Source organism: Homo sapiens, chromosome 6 (assembly GCF_000001405.40).
Source record: "Homo sapiens chromosome 6, GRCh38.p14 Primary Assembly".
In the NCBI taxonomy this organism is placed as follows: domain Eukaryota; kingdom Metazoa; phylum Chordata; class Mammalia; order Primates; family Hominidae; genus Homo; species Homo sapiens.
Window position 1 is genome coordinate 7,912,457 of NC_000006.12, and position 18,783 is coordinate 7,931,239.

At 43.8% G+C, this 18,783-nt stretch overlaps 1 long non-coding RNA gene across 1 annotated transcript in view, besides 2 other annotated features; it reads right to left on the reverse strand.

The window, feature by feature from the left end:
• BLOC1S5-TXNDC5 (BLOC1S5-TXNDC5 readthrough (NMD candidate)) overlaps positions 1-18,783 on the reverse strand; it is a 183,165-nt gene that overhangs the window by 31,207 nt on the left and 133,175 nt on the right. The gene's annotated exons all lie outside the window — the stretch shown is intronic.
• Positions 457-606: an enhancer, noted in NCBI's record as "active region_23952". NCBI's record gives its function as "activates an Ori minimal core promoter by ATAC-STARR-seq in GM12878 lymphoblastoid cells {active_cell/tissue: GM12878}" and the evidence as "EXISTENCE:reporter gene assay evidence [ECO:0000049][PMID:35858748]".
• Positions 7,104-8,303: an enhancer, noted in NCBI's record as "P300/CBP strongly-dependent group 1 enhancer chr6:7919793-7920992 (GRCh37/hg19 assembly coordinates)". NCBI's record gives its function as "activates an origin of replication core promoter dependent on BRD2, BRD4, P300/CBP, MED14 and CDK7 cofactors, with strong dependence on P300/CBP, by STARR-seq in HCT116 cells {active_cell/tissue: HCT116}" and the evidence as "EXISTENCE:reporter gene assay evidence [ECO:0000049][PMID:35650434]".

Sequence of the window (18,783 nt, forward strand, 5' to 3'; positions counted from 1 at the left end):
CTCAGAGCCAGGAAGTAAAGCTGATGCCTTCCTGGTTCCCCATTGCTCCTTCCAAATCCTACAAAACCTTCAGTACTCCTTAAATTGATGCCACTGGGCATGGCACCCTCTTCCCTGCCAGTTCCTGTCATTCTTCCACATCACTCTTCCTGGTTCAGTGAAGACTTTGGTTCCTGGCTCACAGTGTTCCTGGCCACCCCTTTCCTGTCTTTCATTCCTGGCATCTTCAGCATCCAGGTGGATGCTCCATCTACCTTTCCCTCAGTAACTCACACCCAAAAGGGAGACCCTAGCACTTGTCATCACCAGCATCTGCACCATCTCCAAAATCTGAAGGCATCCACTCTGCCCAGCACCTCCTCGACTGTTTGCTCAAGAAACCCATTTCTGCAATGCTTCTTTCTCATCATGACCTCTGAGCTACCCACCCCACCATCTTCTACAATCCCCTCGCAGCCCAACAGACTGCTATGTCTTCTCTTGCCTCTTGGCCAAGTTACAGCCCATGGAGTCTCACCCTTCACTTCCTGCCCTGCCACATTCTCCCCACAGATGCTGGTGAGCTTTGTCTCTCTGGGTTCCCTGTGCCTTCAACCAGGTAGCCAGACTCTGCTGGAGAAAAATCGCACAGTCAAGCCGCATGTCTCCTTCACACTGGTAAAAATAAGCCTTAAATTCCTCCTCACCCCTGCCCTAAAACTGACTACCTCTGCCTAGGCAGTGTGCTGCCCCACTCTCTGAGATGCTTCCATACTTCCACTGACACTGCTCCTCCTCTCCTCTCCCCACCCCACCCTGTCAGTCGCCATCCTCTCAGCTGCCAGCTTTATCTCATGTTTCTGAGAAAAATGAAGCCAAAAGCATGAGCTCCCTTATCCCTCCCCCGCCAAATCTACACACCCCTGCACAGGCGCCTTTCCCTCTGCCCACAAAGGAGCAAGTCAGTATATCCCTGCCTAGCAAAGCCCAGTCCTCCAGAATAATGCCCCTCACGGATAACCAGGTCCTAATTCCTGAAACATCTGATTGTTTCTTTATATGGCAGAAGGCTTTGCAGGTGTGATTAAATTAAGGGTCGTGAGCTGGAGAGATTACCCTGGATTATCTCGGTGGGTCCTAAATGTGATCACAAGTGTCCTCATAACAGAGGGGCAGTAGGAAATTTGACTACACAGCCGGAGGCGACGTAACAAAAGCAGAAAGAGATTTGAAGATGTTAAACTGCTGGTTTGGAAGATGAAGGGGCCAAGAGCCAGGAAAAGCAGCTCTAGATGCTGGAAAAAGCAAGGAAATAGACTCCCCCTCAGAGCCTCTGGAGGGACCTGCAGTCCTGTGGACAATTTATAGTCCAGTGCAACTGGTTTTGGACTTCTGACCTCCAAAACTGTAAGAGAATAAACGTACGTGGTTTTATGCCACCAAGAGTGTGGTGTTACAGCAGCCCTAGGAATCTCATATGCCCTCCCTGCTCCCTGCTCAAAGGCTTTGTTCTTCAGCTCCTCTCTTTCTCTCCTGCACAAGTTACTCATCACTCCTTCCTACTGGACCATTTTCATCAGTGTATAAGCAAAAAAAAAAAAAAAATTATCTGTATTTCACTTTCCATTCATCCTTCAGCTCATGCCACTCTGACTCTCAAACCTGCCACACACCAAGTCTTCTCAAAGTCACTGAAGATGTCCACATTGACAAGTCAAATGAACACTTTATGTTCCTCATCTTCCTGGGCTTCTCAGCAGCGTTGGTACAACTGCCATTGGCCCCATCTGCATCCACCGTCCTTTCTGCTTCTCTGATCTACCTCCTACCATCCCCACGTCACTCCTCAGTCTCTTCAACCCAACCTTTGATGTCAGTTTTCAGCGCTCAGCCTCCAACCCACTTTTGTTTCTCTGCATCACTCCCTAGGTGATCTCATCCATAGCCATGGCTTTAACACCATCTATATGCTGCTGCCAAAGTGTACATTTGCAGCCGAGGCCTCTCTCTGAGCTCTCACTATCTACAGGATGCCTCCTCTTGTTTGTCCTGCAGGTGTGCTGAAGCTGACCTTGTGCTTCCCTGCAGCAATCTGCTTGTCCTCCGATTTCCCCTCCTCAGTAAATAGTTCTTCCTCGCTGTTGCACAAACCAGAAACCTGAGTTGCAAACTTTGTCTCAGACTCCTGGCCTCAAGTGATCTGCCTGCCTCAGGCTCCCAGAGTGCTGGGATTACAGGTGTGAGCCACCACCCCCGACCTCTGAGTTGTAAACTTTGTTACCCTTTTTCTTTATTGCAGTGCCTTGATCCCCGCCTCCTACTCGATCTCCCCATCAGCAAGTCCAATCATTGCCATCTCTGAGCCACAGCTCCCACTGACTGATATCTCTCCACTGCTGCCATATCCTTCTCTTCCTGTCTGCTACAGTAGCCTCCTGAATGTTGTTTCCACTCTTAAGTCCTTCCCATCCATCCTTCATCCAGCAGCTAGAATTGAATCGTGTCACTCCTTTGCTTAACTTCCTTCAGGGGCTTCCCTTCACATACAGTCAAATTCCAGCTCTTTGCCTTGGCTTGCAAGGGCCTTCAGGAAAGATGCAATCTCAACCCATACCACTCTGCCCTCTGCTCGCCTAGATTCTAGCCATTAGGGATGATTCTAGATACCCTCCCAGCATTCCCCTTCTCAGGCCCTTGTGTGTGGTGCCCTGTGCTTGTTCCCTTCCTGTCTTCTGTGACTGGACTCCCTGCACCCTCAGGTCTCTTGCCCCCACGCCACCTCCTCAGTGCCTGGCGATTGCCTTTCCACATTGACAAGTCAAAGCCCCTCTCTGCAGCAGCCTCCCTCTGCCCACTGAGCTCTCACCAGTGCCATGCTGTTTAATTTCTGCATAACACTTTTTGTCATTTGATGCCATTTTGTTGCAGACTTAGCTGGTTAAGGTGGCCGTCTTCTCCATCAATAAGCTCCCCGAAGGCCAGGGGCTATTTGCCACATTCACTTCTCTCTCCCTAGCACCCAAATGCCTGGATACAGTTGAGGCTCAACAAGTGTTGGATGAAGGAACCCCTCTTTCTAACCACATCTCTTTCCCAGGCTCCACCAAAACAAACTGACTCACTGTGCCTGGCACCTTCTCTCACATGCGGCCTTTCCTGCATGACCCGGCCACCCCTCCACACAGGCTGCTCAGCGTCACTTCCTCTGAACTCCCAGCCCTCCCAAGGGACTGACATGTTGCTTCATATGGTAGCAGCCACACATGGTCCTGCTTAGATTCCCATCGCCAAGCAGCGTGGCTTCCAGCTCAGAAAGCCTAAAAGTGAAGATACAACTGAATTTGTGTACAGCGATGAAATAATACAATGTTCTCAGTAAAAAATTCCCTGACCTCCAGCTGGGGTTAGGCTTCCTGCACTAATATCTTGTCCTTTCTCCCCATATCCCTTCACAGAAGGGTAATTATTTGGTTGTGTGAATTTTGTTTAGCCTCGGACTTTCCCTCTAAACTGTAAGCCCCATGGCCTGAGAGGTGTTTACGTGATGTCTGGTACACAGCAGGCATTTAATACCTGATATGGTTTGGCTGTGTCCCCACCCAAATTTCATCTTGAATTGTAACTCCCACAATTCCCATGTGTTGTGGGAGGAACCCGGTGGGAGGTGATTGAATCATGGGGACAAGGTCTTTCCTGCACTGTTCTCATGATAGTGAATGAGTCTCATGAGATCTGATGGTTTTAAAAAGGGGAGACTTCCTTCATAAGCTCTCTTCTCTTGTCTGCTGCCATGTGAGACGTGCCTTTCACCTGCCATGATTGGGATGCCTCCCCGGCCACTTGGAATTATAAGTCCAGTAAACCTCTTTCTTTTGGAAATTGCCCAATCTCAGGTATGTCTTTATCAGCAGCGCAAAAACAGACTAATACGATACCTGTTTGTTGAATGAATGCATGAAGGAATGGATGAAAAGTCACATTTGTCTACCCTCAGAGGATGGCTTGCTTGAGAGAGACCCCCCTCAAAATCATGGCCTTTCCCAAGCAGAAAAGGCAATAGGTATGTTGGTCTGTATTGTTAGAAGTTAGTACTACTTCTAGCAAAATAGTATTGCTACACTGCCTTCTTTTTTTGAGACAGATTCTTACTCTGTCACCCAGGCTGGAGTGCAATGGCATGCTCTTGGCTCACTGCAACCTCTGCCTCCTGGGTTCAAGCAATTCTCCTGCCTTAGCCTCCTGAGTAGTTGGGACTACAGGCACCTGCCACCACACCCGGCTAATTTTTGTATTTTTAGTAGAGACGGGGTTTCACTATGTTGGCCAGGCTGGTCTCAATCTCCTAACCTCGTGATCCACTCACCTCGGCCTCCCAAAGTGCTGGGATTACAGGCGTGAGCCACCACGCCCGGTCTACGCTGCCTTCTTATTGCAAATCCACAGCCTTCAAGGAGCTGCACTCCCTTCCGACAGCAGCCCTGTAGGTGCATGGCAAAGCCTCTCGTTGGAAGCTGTCCTCATCCCAGGGAGCACATAAGAACTGACATGGGAGGAATGGCTACTGAATGGGAAAAATACAGCTTTTGTTTTCCACCTCCAGAGGATAACACAAGACCCAAATGTGTTGTAACATTGTCAAGACAACCCCAGGACATTCAGAAACTGAAATGCCACCATTTGAACCACTTTAACAGGTGCATCCTGAGTTATTATTGGGCGAACAGTACTGCTTTTAGGAGGTACTGAAAGCATTTACATCCTGTTGTTCTAATTTGGTCAGAACACCTTGGTAGGTGCCTCTAAAGAAGAAGAAAAACTGTGTTTTTCTTGATGAGCTCATGTGACCATTCAAATGTGATTGTTGAGAGGTGGAGAAAAAGCTAGAGGATTGCTCTCATCAGAGAAAATCTAAAGAAAAAGACCAAAGTGAATTCCCAGGCTGGAGTCACACAGGGAGTAGAGCTGTTTTCAGTGTATTGAAATGGTTAATGGAAAGGTCATATTTACTCACTACTCTCACAAGCTCCTTGGGCAACACAGCCTACTAAACAATTAATAAGCACCAAAAACCCACATTACATTATAACATAACAGATTCGGGTATTTGGCAGATAAAAGCTTTCAAAATCCATGTGGGATCTGTGAGGTCTCGGGGGTAGGGGGGAGGAGAATAAAGAGAGTTTCTTTGTTGACTGGATCATGACCACTAAGCTGAATGATCTGTGCTGTTTCTCAAAGTGCACAGAACACTCACTCCAGCTCCCAGGAGCTCATTCAGTCTGTGCAAGTGCTGGCTCTTCTCGTTCATGCCCCTGTCATTCTCCCAGCTCTTTGTCTGCTAGATGCTATTACAGGAGTTCTTATTTTTCCCAGAGTCCCCAGGTGCGGGGCCGATAGGCTGATCCAGAAGCTGATGCTCACCAGCACCTGGACTTCATAACAGGAGAGAAGACTTCTCCCTGATGCAGGTTGCTCACTGAGTTGTTCCACTCCTCTCTCAGCTGCGCTGGCCTGCAGTGATGGCCTTGGCCTTGGATCTGTGGCATTCCACACGGGCATGGGGACATGCCTCTCACAGCACTTAGGGGCCAGCTCTTCATAGCTGCCTGAATTTCAGAACACTATTCCAAGTTCAGAATCCAGGAAAATGTTTATCCTACCTGGGGGTTCTCAATTCTGGCTGCACATTGCAATCATCTAGGTCTTGAAAGCAATACTGATGGCTTTGTCCTACTTCCTAGGGTTGAGAATTCCTGGGATTAGAGGAGACACAGCCAGGATCTCAGTCCCTGGTGCGCCTGTGGCGGACTGTAGCAGGGCTCTGAGAGCACAGATGTGGAGCAGACCACCAAAGGAACGCTGATGTTTGCTGGAAGTTAATAGGTGTTTTCTTAAGAGAAGAGCTCTGACTGAGACATGTTTGAGGAACACTTGGTTAGGGTTAGGGTTAGGAGATAGAGAAGCCAGGAACAATGCCCAAATTAGACCACAATACTGCTCAAATTAGATCACAATACTGCTCAAATTAGATCACAATACTGCCACCACTGCTACCACCTCGACATGCAGATTCCTCCTATCCCACCTCTGGTACAGGACACTATATGTGACCATGGGAACCTCTGCAACCGCTGCCCTGCAGGATGGACTTTGCATGACCCCTGCTTCTTCGCAAAACTAGCTTCCAATGGAAGCCTCACTGCAGTAGGGCTCAATGGTCTATGCTCTATCCTAACTTGTGGCGGTTAGGTCAGAGGCTCCACAAATGCAGGAAAGGTGTCCAGTGAAGCTGGGCAGCCTGAAAGAATGTCAACTGTTGATACATTGAGTCCTTTTTTTTTTTTTTTTTTGGAGACAGAATTTCACTCTATTTCTCAGGCTGGAGTGCAGTGGTGCAACCTTGACTCACTGCAACTTCTGTCTCCTGGATGCAAGCGATTCTCATGCCTCAGCCATTGAAATAGCTGGGATTACAGGCGCCCACCACCACACCAAGCTAATTTTTGTATTTTTAGTAGAGACAGGATTTCACCATGTTGGCCAGGCTGGCCTCAAACTCTTGGCCTCAGGTGATCTGCACACCTCAGCCTCCCAAAGTGCTGAGATTACAGGCATGAGCCACCACACCTGGCCAACACACTGTGCCTTGAAGACTACTTAAGAATTGGCTGGATGAAGTGCTAATGGAAGAAGAAAGAAAAAGATAGAAACCTATTTCCTAAATGATTTATCAGAGATTTTTATTTGCGATTGCACCATCTGAATTCCTAAAAGTATCCTATGCAGTATTTCCCAACTTATTTGATTGTGGACTCCTTTTTATTTGTGGTGTCTCTTGTGTTGTTAATCCTCTGCAGAACACTCTGTGAAGTATTATATATAGAAGCTTGGGTCGTATTTCACATGGAAGGATCAATGTCTGGTTTCCTTTGCTTATTATAGCTGCAACATCTCCTCTTCCATTGTGTGCATTTAATTGCAAGAGAATTCACTCAACAAATATTTATTGGATCTAGTCTGTGTCAGGCACGTTTTTAGGTGCTGAGGATCAGCAACAACTGAAATAGACAAAAACCCTAGTCCTAATGAACTTCCATTGTAGGTGGGGAAACAGCCAATACGTAAGATATAGAAGATAAACACTATGTTAGCCAGTGGTAGAAGCCCAGAAGAAAACAAGGCAAGGAAGGGGGTATGAAGTGTCAAGGTTCAGATGGGATGTCAGGGTTTGGATAGGCTTATTGGGGACATGGCTTTCAAGTAAAGACGTGAGGGAGTAACACATGTGAATATCTGGTTCCAGCCGAGGGATCAGCAACTGCAAAGGACTTAGAGCGAATGAATAAGAAGGCAGTACAGAATGAGAACACTGGCTTTTACGAATGAGAAGGGAAGTCATCGGAGGGTTTTCAGAAGAAACACGACAGGATCTGGCTTCCAATTATTTCTACAGCATGGCTCTGAGAGCTGTAGCGAGGAATGCGAAGGGGGCAAGGATAGAAGGGAGGCGACCACTCCGGGAGCAATTACAACCATCCCAGCACAAGATACTGGTGACTCACGCTAAGGCGGAGGTGGGAGGGTGATGAGAAGCAGGTTCCGGGTCTCTTTTGATGTATGTGCCAACAGGATTTGCTGACTCAGCAGATGTGGGCTGAGGGTGGTGAGAGAAAGAGAGGAGCTAAGGATGACACTGAGGCGTTCAGCCAGAGTGGCTAGGAGCACTGAGTTGTTATAATCTGAGATGGGAAACAGGTTTTGGGAAAGAGTTGCTCAATGTTGAACATACTACAATGGGGAAGTCTGCAGATACACAGAGTGGGCAGATGGCTATTCAAGTCCAGGGCAGAGATGCAGGCCAGATATAAATTTGAGAGTCGTTAGCATTTGATGGTATTTAAAGCCCTGGGACAGGAGGAGATCCCTGTGGGAGTGAGTGCAGAGGAGGGAAGAGGTTTAAGGGCTGAGTCCTGGGGCATCTCACTGTTTTGAAGACCAGGAGATTAGGAGGAATGGGCAAAAGAGACTGGCATGGAGTAGTCAGGAAGGCAGGAAGAAAACCTGATTACTGCTGTCCACAGGCCCAGAGTAGAAATGTTTCAAAAGACGGAAGGAAAAGCTGTTTTGAATCTGCTGATATATCATGGTTTGCCCCCAGACAATCCCAGTTTACACCTACTGACATGATCTAGTCATTACTCACAGCCATTCCCCCTCCCACGTGTCTCAGTTTGGAAGGTACATTGACAGGGCATCCTGCTGACAGTTCAGGTGTAATGATCCCTAAGCACTCACCTTTAGATTTGGAGACTTTGGTAATAGTAGTTTTGGTGAACAGGTGGTAGTAAAAACCCAACTGGAGTGGCTTCAAGAGGGAGAAGAAAGGAATTACAAACAATGAATGTGAACAACTCTTCAGGAGAACTTGTCACATAAAGCAAAGGAAAAGAATACAATAGTAACTAAAGGAGAGAGAGGGGCCCAGAGGGTTTTGTTGTTGTTGTTTTTAACATGAAAGACAAGTCAACATGGTTGATTGTTTGATGATCCAGAAATAAAGAAAACATTGGTTGCCACAGGAGACAGAGGGAGAATTTCTGGAGTAGTGGCCTGAGGGAGTGCAGGAGGATGTTGCCTATGAGTAGGGGCAGACGTTGGCTTTCCAAGGAGCCCCAGTGGTTGTCTGTGATAAGAGGAGGGCAGGCACAGTGGGTGGGCACAGATCCAGAGAGGTGGGTCCAGGTGGCTAATGGTGGGAGCTGGCACCTGTCCCCTCCAGTGGCTTCTGTTTTCCACTGTAATAGAAAGCAGTATCATGGGCTGACACTGAAGATAGGGGAAGTGCTGGAGGTTTGGGGAGGGCAGTGAAGGTCTGAAATAGAGGTCACAGTGAGAACGGGAGAGGGAAAACAAGGCAGTTTGGTATTAATGCCTGGTGGCCTTGAGGCTCCACTTGATGTCAATTTGACATACCCGGATTTTCTCCAGGTACGTTCTGCTGTGTGGTTCAGTCACACAGTAGACAGTTGGATTTAGTCAGGCCTATGATTTAGCTAAGTGAGGAAACAAAGGCAGAGGGCGGCAACAGAGCGAGAGTGTATGTAGGGGAGAAATGATAACACTTGACTATGGAATTTAAGCAGGGGAAATTATAAAACATTTATCTTAAGAAGTTGTAATACTCAGCCTTGTATACACACAGTACACAAGTTCGTTATCTCTTTGACATGTTGATAACTTCCAGTGGGTCACGTGTCAGTTCATTTATTGAGAAGTCCTATTCCACGCCTTCCTCTCTATGTCTAATATGGCCATGTGGCTCAGGCCTTCACCTCCTCCTTCACGGATTATCTCCACAGAGTCTTGGCCATGACTCCTGATTCCATGTGCTCCCATCCAAACAATGTGCAATTGTTTTGGCCAGGATCATCTTGAGACAACAGCTTTATCATCTCACTGCTCTGTCCCAAAATAAAGAATAGCTCTGTATTTCCAATTATATCATATCACAAGTCCTCTGCCCGGCTTCTGTAGCTCCCTCTACTTTTGCAAACTTGTCTCTGACATTGCATAACTCTGCTCCAGACAGGCTTGCTTTCCTATTGTCCCTGCCACATGTTGTATCATTTCCAACTCTCTTCCTTTGCTCATGCTGTGCTTTCTGCTTGAAATGCTCTCCTCTCTGCTTTCAAAATCCTATCCATTATACATGGCAGACAGCAATAGTGGTTGGTACAGGAGGAGAGGTAGGATTGGAGTGGGCCAGGAGTAAAGACACACAGAGACATATATATATATATATATATATATATATATATATATATATATATATATATGTATCTATCTATATATATGTATATATACATATACATACACACACACACACACACACACACACACACATATATATATATACACATTGACCCTTGAACGATGTGGGAGTTAGGGGCATTGACCCCCACACACTCGAAAGTCCATGTATAACTTTTGACTCCCCAAAATGTAACTACTAATAGCCTAATATTGATCAGAAGCCTTACAGTTAACATAAACAGTCAAATAACACACATTTTGTAGGTTACATGTGTTATATACTGTATTCTTCCAATAAAGTAAGCCAGAGAAAAGAAAATATTAAGAAAATCATACAGAAGGAAAACACATTTGCACCACTGTGCTGTATTTATCAATACCGTAAGTTTATGTCATCTGTTTACAAGATGCCTCATCTGTCTGAAATGGCAGCAACCACAGCTGCAGACCTCAGTGCATATCAAACAATTCAACTTTTTTCTTGTAATGTCATGACTTTTCTCTGCTTCCTGGGAACCCTTCCAGCATCCCTAGTGGTGCTTTGTATGGGTCCCCTGGTATTATTCCAGGTTTTGGTATTGCAACAAACACAATGAAAAATACATGAGAACCATAAGATCACTTTTTGCTGTGATATGCAATTTCCTGAAGAGAGGAACTGCTTGAAGGGAGATGATGAGCATCACACAGCATTTGAAGCTGATACTCACAACACTTGAGCTCACTGCAATAGCTACAGGAGGTGGCTGCAAAATTATTATAGTAGTACAGTACATGCTACAGTTAATTTAATGCAGTTATGATTTAATACTGCATCTTTCTGTTTGTTTATATGTCTCTTGACTGAGAATGGTGCCATGTATGGTCTGTAAGTGTTTACATGCATGAGTTTTGATATATTTTAACTTTTTATAATAGCTTTGTGTATATTTTATGGTAGTAAATGATAAAATAGAATCTACATATATTTTATATATTCGTGACATACCTAGTTTTTTCTTAATTGTTAAGCATTTCTAGGTTATGTGCATATAACTAACATTTACATTTGAATTTTTGCAATAAGCTTGTCTTCATACCACTTCTGTAATTTTGTCATTGAAGAGTTTAAATGTAATTTTTAAAGGACTCTTCCTAGTTGCTATTTGGCAGTAGGTATTTTAAATTTATATAAGTATACCTTTTGACCCAGCAATAGGTCCAGGACCTTATCCTTGGGAGATAACTTCACAATTTCATTGCAGCATTGTTTATAATAGCAAACCATGGGAAGCAAACTGCTACCCCTCAGGAAAGCACTGAGTAAATTAAAAATGACATAGGTAGACCATGTGCAACATGCACAGTGGTGTATTTTAGTGGTTCATGGTGCAGCCTCTGCCATCAGACTACTGAGAGGCTTGAATGTCAGCACTACTCCTTCTGGCTGTATAACTTCAGGTGATTAAAATGTTCTGTGCTTAAATTTCTTCATCGGTTAGAGACTTTAGGGATTTTTTTTTTTTTGTAAAGAAGAGATAAACTATTTGAAACCATGTCTGGTTCCATGTAGAGTGTAGAAAGCAGGAAAAATTATTCCCCTACCCTAATAACAGAAAAATAAACTACAAACAAAACAAAACAAAAAGACCGGATATACTACAACACGATAACTTTTCATGAACTCATCAAAGAGCTGAGGGCATGGGGCAACCAAATATCCTTAAATCCAAGAAAAGTCAGGCTTCTCCAAGGAAAGATGGAGCACCCTCACTGATTTCTCTGTAGCAGAGACCAGGAGGAAGAGATGCTGGGACTGTACAAGTGGGTAAGAAGAATTTGGCTAAACTTTACGATTAAGAGCAAAAGCCAAGTGTGGGCTGGCACAAGAGTATAGCACCCCTGAGAACTCCACACACAAAGGGAGTTTGCACTCACATTCAGGACCTTCTACTGGGCCTCCACTGGATGCTCATGAGAAAGTCTGGAAGCAGAGCAATGAGACCAAGGGAACCTCCTTTGGTGGTGTGGACCTGAAGAATGGGAGTGGTTGTTGTTGTAGGAAATTCACAAAATCCTGACTGAACTCTCTTCTCCTATAAATATAGTTTAGGTTTCCAGGGCACTGGCAAAGTTGGGGGAGCTTGGAAAAAGGTAAAAAGAAAAGAAGTAACATCCTCTACCCCTGGAGAAGGGGAAGGAAAGAGTTCTGGGTCAAGGATCATATATATGACAATATGAATAGGGGTCTCCAACATGTGGGGGAGGGGCGAGGAACTGTCCTATTCAAGACCCAGCACAGATATGAGGCAGTTTGGCAGTCACTGGGAAGAAGAGCAGGATCACTGAGAAAGTCCCATTCCTAAGACCTAGGCAGACAGACTTGCCTAAGACTGAAGCTGGATCTGGACAAGAGAGAATCTCCCTTCCCTGTCTCCACCACCAAGCAAGCACCAAGTAACGAGCAACAGCAGTCTACTTCTGGGGAGAAGGCAAGAGCATGGAGATAGGCCTCCCAGTCTTTGTCACAGACAAACTGGTAAGACTGAAAATTGAGGGTGAAGCAGGAGCTCTGAGAAAAATATCCTGGAACCCCAGCCTCCACCCTAAGCACAAAGTAATGCTAGAAAAATTAAAGTCAGTGATGTACTGAAGGTCACCATAGCAACAACAAAATTCAAACCCACCTCAATTACTAAGTAGGTTTACTCAGGAGGATGTAATATCTCATAATATAGCATTGCCAACACTAATAGGCTAGCACAGGAGGCATGCCCATTTGCAGAAATAAATACTATTTACCATAGTGTTGGTTTTTCTATACCTGATGCCCAACATTCAATCAAAAATTAGAAGACATACATGGAAAACAAGATAAAAACAACCAAAGTCAAGAGACAATGCAATCAACACAACCAGACTCAGGAAGAACCCAGATATTAAAGCTATCAGATGAGGAATTTAAAATAACTATAATTCATATGTTAGATGCTCTAGGGGGAAAGTGTCAGCATGCATTAAGAGATGAACATTTTCAGCAAATAGATGGAAACTGTAAGAAAAAGTCAAATGAAAATACTAGGGGATTTAAAAAATATATTAAAAACACTTTTTTAAAAAAGAAAATACTAGGGGAAAGAAAACCATTGTGACTTAGCTGACTCTTCAGTACACTTGAGAGAACCAAGAAAAGAATCAATAAACTTGAAGATAGGATATTAGAAATTACCCAACCAAAACACAGAGAAAACAGTTAAAAACACACACACACACACACACACACACAGAACATTGAAGAGCTGTGGAACAATATCAAACGATCTAACAATGAGTGGTTACAATCCCAGAAGAGAGATATAATTGTTCAAAGAAATATTTACAAGGAAATTTTCAAAATTAACAAAATACATCAAACCACAGATCCAAGGAGTTCAGAGAATCCCAAGCAGAAAAATGACAAACAAATAACAACAGCAGCAAGACGGCTGAATAGGAACAGCTCCAGTCTGCAGCTCCCAGCGTGATCGACGCAGAAGATGGGTTATTTCTGCAATTGCAGCTGAGGTACCTGGTTCATCTCATTGAGACTGGTTGGACAGTGGGTGCAGCCAACGGAGGGCGAGCTGAAGCAGGGTGGGGCATCACCTCACCTGGAAGTGCAAGGGGTTGGGGGATTTCCCTTTCCTAGCCAAGGGAAGCTGTGACAGACTACCTGGAAAAACAGGACACTCCCGCCCAAATACCGTGCTTTTCCAATGGTCTTAGCAAACGGCACACCAGGAGATTATATCCTGCGCCTGGCTTGGTGCGTCCCACACCCACAGAGCCTTGCTTACTGCTAGCACAGAGTCTGAGTTGGAACTGCGAGGCTGCAGCCTGGCTGGGGGAGGGGCATCTGCCATTGCTGAGGCTTGAGTAGGTAAGAAAAAGTCAAATGAAAAGTGGCTGGGAAGCTTGAACTGGGCGGAGACCACCACAGCTCAACAAGGCCTACTGCCTCTAGACTCTACCTCTGTGGGCAGGGCATAGCTGAACAAAAGGCAGCAGACAACTTCTGCAGACTTAAACGTCCCTGTCTCACAGCTCTGAAGAGAGCAGTGTTCTCCCAGCATGGCGTTTGAGTTCTGAGAATGGACAGACTGCCTCCTCAAGTGGGTCCCTGACCCCCGTGTAGCCTAACTGGGAGACACACCTCCCAGTAGGGCCTGACAGATACCTCATATAGGCGGCTGCCCCTCTGGGATGAAGCTTCCAGAGGAAGGATCAGGCAGCAATATTTGCTGTTCTGCAGCCTCCACTTGTGATACCCAGGATGGACCTCCAGCAAACTCCAACAGACCTGCAGCTGAGGGACCTGACTATTAGAAGGAAAACTAACAAACAGAAAAGAATAGCATCAACATCAACAAAAAGGTCTTCTACACCAGAACTCCATCTGTAGGTCACCAACATCAAAGACCAAAGGTAGATAAAACCACAAACATGGGGAGAAACCAGAACAGAAAAGCTGAAAATTCTAAAATCAGAGTGCCTCTTCTCCTCCAAAGGATCGCAGCTCCTCACCAGCAACGGAACAAAGCTGGACGGAGAATGACTTTGATGAGTTGACAGAAGTAGGCTTCAGAAGGTCGGTAATAACAAACTCCTCCAAGCTAAAGGAGGATGTTCGAACCCATTGCAAGGAAGCTAAAAATCTTGAAAAAAGATTACATGAATGGCTAACTAGAATCAACAGTGTAGAGAAGACCTTAAATGACCTGAAGCTGAAATCCATGGCACGAGAACTTCATGACACATGCACAAGCTTCAATAGCCGATTTGATCAAGTGGAAGAAAGGGTGTCAGCGATTGAGGATCAAACCAATGAAATAAAGTGAGAAGACAGGTTAGAGAAAAAAGAGTAAAAAGAAACAAACCAAGCCTCCAAGAAATATGGGACTATGTGAGAAGACCAAATCTACATTTGATTGGTGTACCTGAAAGTAATGGGGAGAATGGAACCAAGTTGGAAAACACTCTGCAGGATATTATCCAGGAGAACTTCCCCAACCTAGCAAGGCAGGCCAACATTCAAATTCAGGAAATACGGAGAACACCACAAAGATACTCCTCGAGAAAAGCAACCCCAAGACACATAATTGTCAGATTCACCAAGGTTGAAATGAAGGAAAAAGTGTTAAGGGCAGCCAGAGAGAAAGGTCAGGTTACCCACAAAGGGAAGCCCATCAGACTAACAGCTGATCTCTTGGCAGAAACTCTACAAGCCAGAAGAGAGTGGGGGCCAATATTCAACATTCTTAAAGAAAAGAATTTTCAACCCAGAATTTCATATCTAGCCAAACTAAGCTTCATAAATGAAGGATAAATAAAATCCTTTACAGACAAGCAAATGCTGAGGATTTTGTCACCACCAGGCCTGCCTTACAAGGGCTCCTAAAGGAAGCACTAAACATGGAAAGAAACAATTGGTACCAGCCACTGCAAAAACATGCCAAATTGTAAAGACCATTGATGCTATGAAGAAACTGCGTCAATTAACAGGCAAAATAACCAGTGAACATCATAATGACAGGATAGACTTCACACATAACAATATTAACCTTAAATGTAAATGGGCTAAATGCTCCAATTAAAAGACACAGACTGGCAAATTGAATAAAGAGTCAAGACCCATCAGTGTGCTGTATTCAGGACACCCATCTCACGTGCAAAGACGCACGTAGGCTCAAAATAAAGGAATGGAGGAAGATCTACCAAGCAAATGGAAAGCAAAAAAAAAAAAAAAAAAAAAAAGGAGGGGTTGCAATCCTAGTCTCTGATAAAACAGACTTTCAACCAACAAAGATCAAAAGAGACAAAGAAGGCCATTACATAATGGTAAAGGGATCAATTCAACAAAAAGTTAACTATCCTAAATATATATGCACCCAATACAGGAGCACCCAGATTCATAAAGCAAGTTCTGATAGACCTACAAAGAGACTTAGACTCCCACACAATAATAATGGGAGACTTTAACACCCCACTGTCAATATTAAACAGATCAATAAGACAGAAGGTTAACAAGGATATCCAGGACCTGAACTCAGCTCTGCAACAAGCAGACCTAATAGACATCTACAGACTCTCCACCCCAAATTAACAGAATGTACATTCTTCTCAGCACCACATCACACTTATTCTAAAACTGACCACATAGTTGGAAGTAAAGCACTCCTCAGCAAACGTAAAAGAACAGAAATCACAACAAACTGTCTCTCAGACCACAGTGCAATCAAATTAGAACTCAGGATTAAGAAACTCACTCAAAACTGCACAACTACATGGAAACTGAACAACTTGCTCCTGAATGACTACTGGGTAAATAACAAAATGAAGACAGAAATAAAGATGTTCTTTGAAACCAATGAGAACAAAGACACAACATACCAGAATCTCTGGGACATATTTAAAGCAGTGTGTAGAGGGAAATGTATAGCACTAAATGCCTACAAGAGAAAGCAGGAAAGATCTAAAATTGACATCCTAACATAACAATTAAAAGGACTAGAGAGGCAAGAGCAAACAAATTCAAAAGCTAGCAGAAGGCAAGATATAACTAAGATCAGTGCAGAACTGAAAGAGATAGAAACACAGAAAACCCTTCAAAAAATTAATGAATTCAGGAGCCGGTTTTTTAAAAAGATCAACAAAATTGATAAAACGCTAGCAAGACTAATAAAGAAGAAAAGAGAGAAGAATCAAACAGACGCAATAAAAAATGATAAAAGGGATATCACCACCGATCCCACAGAAATACAAACTACCATCAGAGAATACTATAAACACCTCTATGCAAATAAACTAGAAAATCTGGAAGAAATGGATAAATTCCTGGACACATACACCCTCCCAAGACTAAACCAGGAAGAAGCTGAATCTCTGAATAGAACAATAACAGGCTCTGAAATTGAGGCAATAATTAATAGCCTACCAACCAAAAAAAGTCCAGGACCAGATGGATTCACAGCTGAATTCTACCAGAGGTACAAAGAGGAGCTGATACCATTCCTTCTGAAACTATTACAATCAATAGAAAAAGAGAGAATCCTCCTTAACTCACTTTATGAGGCCAACATCATCCTGATACCAAAGACTGGCAGAGACACAACAAAAAAAGAGAATTTTACACCAATATCCCTGATGAACATCAATGCGAAAATCCTCAATAAAATACTGGCAAACAGAATCCAGCAGCACATCAAAAAGCTTATCCACCATGATCAAGTTGCTTCATCCCTGGGATGCAAGGCTGGTTCAACATATGCAAATCAATAAACATAATCTATCACATAAACAGAACCAATGCCAAAAACCACATGATTGTCTCAATAGATGCAGAGAAGGCCTTCAACAAAATTCAACAGCCCTTCATGCTAAAAACTCTCAATAAACTAGGTATTGATGGGACACATCTCAAAATAATAAGAGCTATTTATGACAAACCCACAGCCAATATCATACTGAAAGGGCAAAAACTGGAAGCATTCCCTTTGAAAACTGGCACAAGACAGGGATGCCCTCTCTCACTGCTCCTACTCAACATAGTGTTGGAAATTCTGGCCAGGGCAATCAGGCAAGAGAAAGAAATAAAGGGTATTCAATTAGGAAATGAGGAAGTCAAATTGTCCCTGTTTGCAGATGACATGATTGTATATTTAGAAAACCCCAAAATCTCCTTAAGCTGATAAGCAACTTCAGCAAAGTCTCAGGATACAAAATCAATGTGCAAAAGTCACAAGCATTCATATCCACCATTAACAGACAGAGAGCCAAATCATGAGTGAACTCCCATTCACAATTGCTACAAAGAGAATAAAATACCTAGGAATCCAACTTACAAGGGATGTGAAGAACCTCTTCAAGGAGAAATAAAAACCACTGCTCAATGAAATAAAAGAGGACACAAACAAATGGAAGAATATTCCATGCTCACGGATAGGAAGAAACAATATCATGAAAATGGCCATACTGCCCAAAGTAATTTATAGATTAAATGCCATCCCCATCAAGCTACCAATGACTTTCTTCACAGAATTGGAAAAAACTACTTTAAACTTCATATGGAACCAAAAAAGAGCCCGCATTGCCAAGACAATTCTATGCACAAAGAATGAAGCTGGAGGCATCACGCTACCTGACTTCAAACTATACTACAAGGCTGCAGTAACCAAAACAGCATGGTACTGGTACCAAAACAGATATATAGACCAATGGAACAGAACAGAGGCCTCAGAAATATTGCCACACATCTACAACCATCTGATCTTTGACAAACCTGACAAAAACAAGCAATATGGAAAGGATTCCCTATTTAATAAATGGTGCTGGGAAAACTGGCTAGCCATATGTAGGAAGCTGAAACTGGATCCCTTCCTTACACCTTATACAAAAATTAATTCAAGATGGATTAAAGACTTAAGTGTTAGACTTAAAACCATAAAAACCCTAGAAGAAAACCTAGGCAATACCATTCAGGACATAAGCATGGGCAAGGACTTCATGACTAAAACACCAAAAGCAATGGCAACAAAAGCCAAAATTGACAAATGGGATCTAATTAAACTAAAGAGCTTCTGCGCAGCAAAAGAAACTACCATCAGAGTGAACAGGCAACCTACAGAATGGGAGAAAAATTTTGCAATCTACCCATCTGACAAAGGGCTAATATCCAGAATCTACAAAGAACTCAAACAAATTTACAAGAGAAAAACAAACAACGCCATCAAAAAGTGGGCAAAGGATATGAACAGACACTTCTCAAAAGAAGACATCTATGCAGCCAACAGACGCATGAAAAATGCTCATCATCACTGGTCATCAGAGAAGTGCAAATCAAAACCACAATGAGATACCATCTCACACCAGTTAGAATGGCAATCATTAAAAAGTCAGGAAACAGCAGATGCTGGAGAGGATGTGGAGAAATAGGAATGGTTTTACACTGTTAGTGGGAGTGTAAATTAGTTCAAC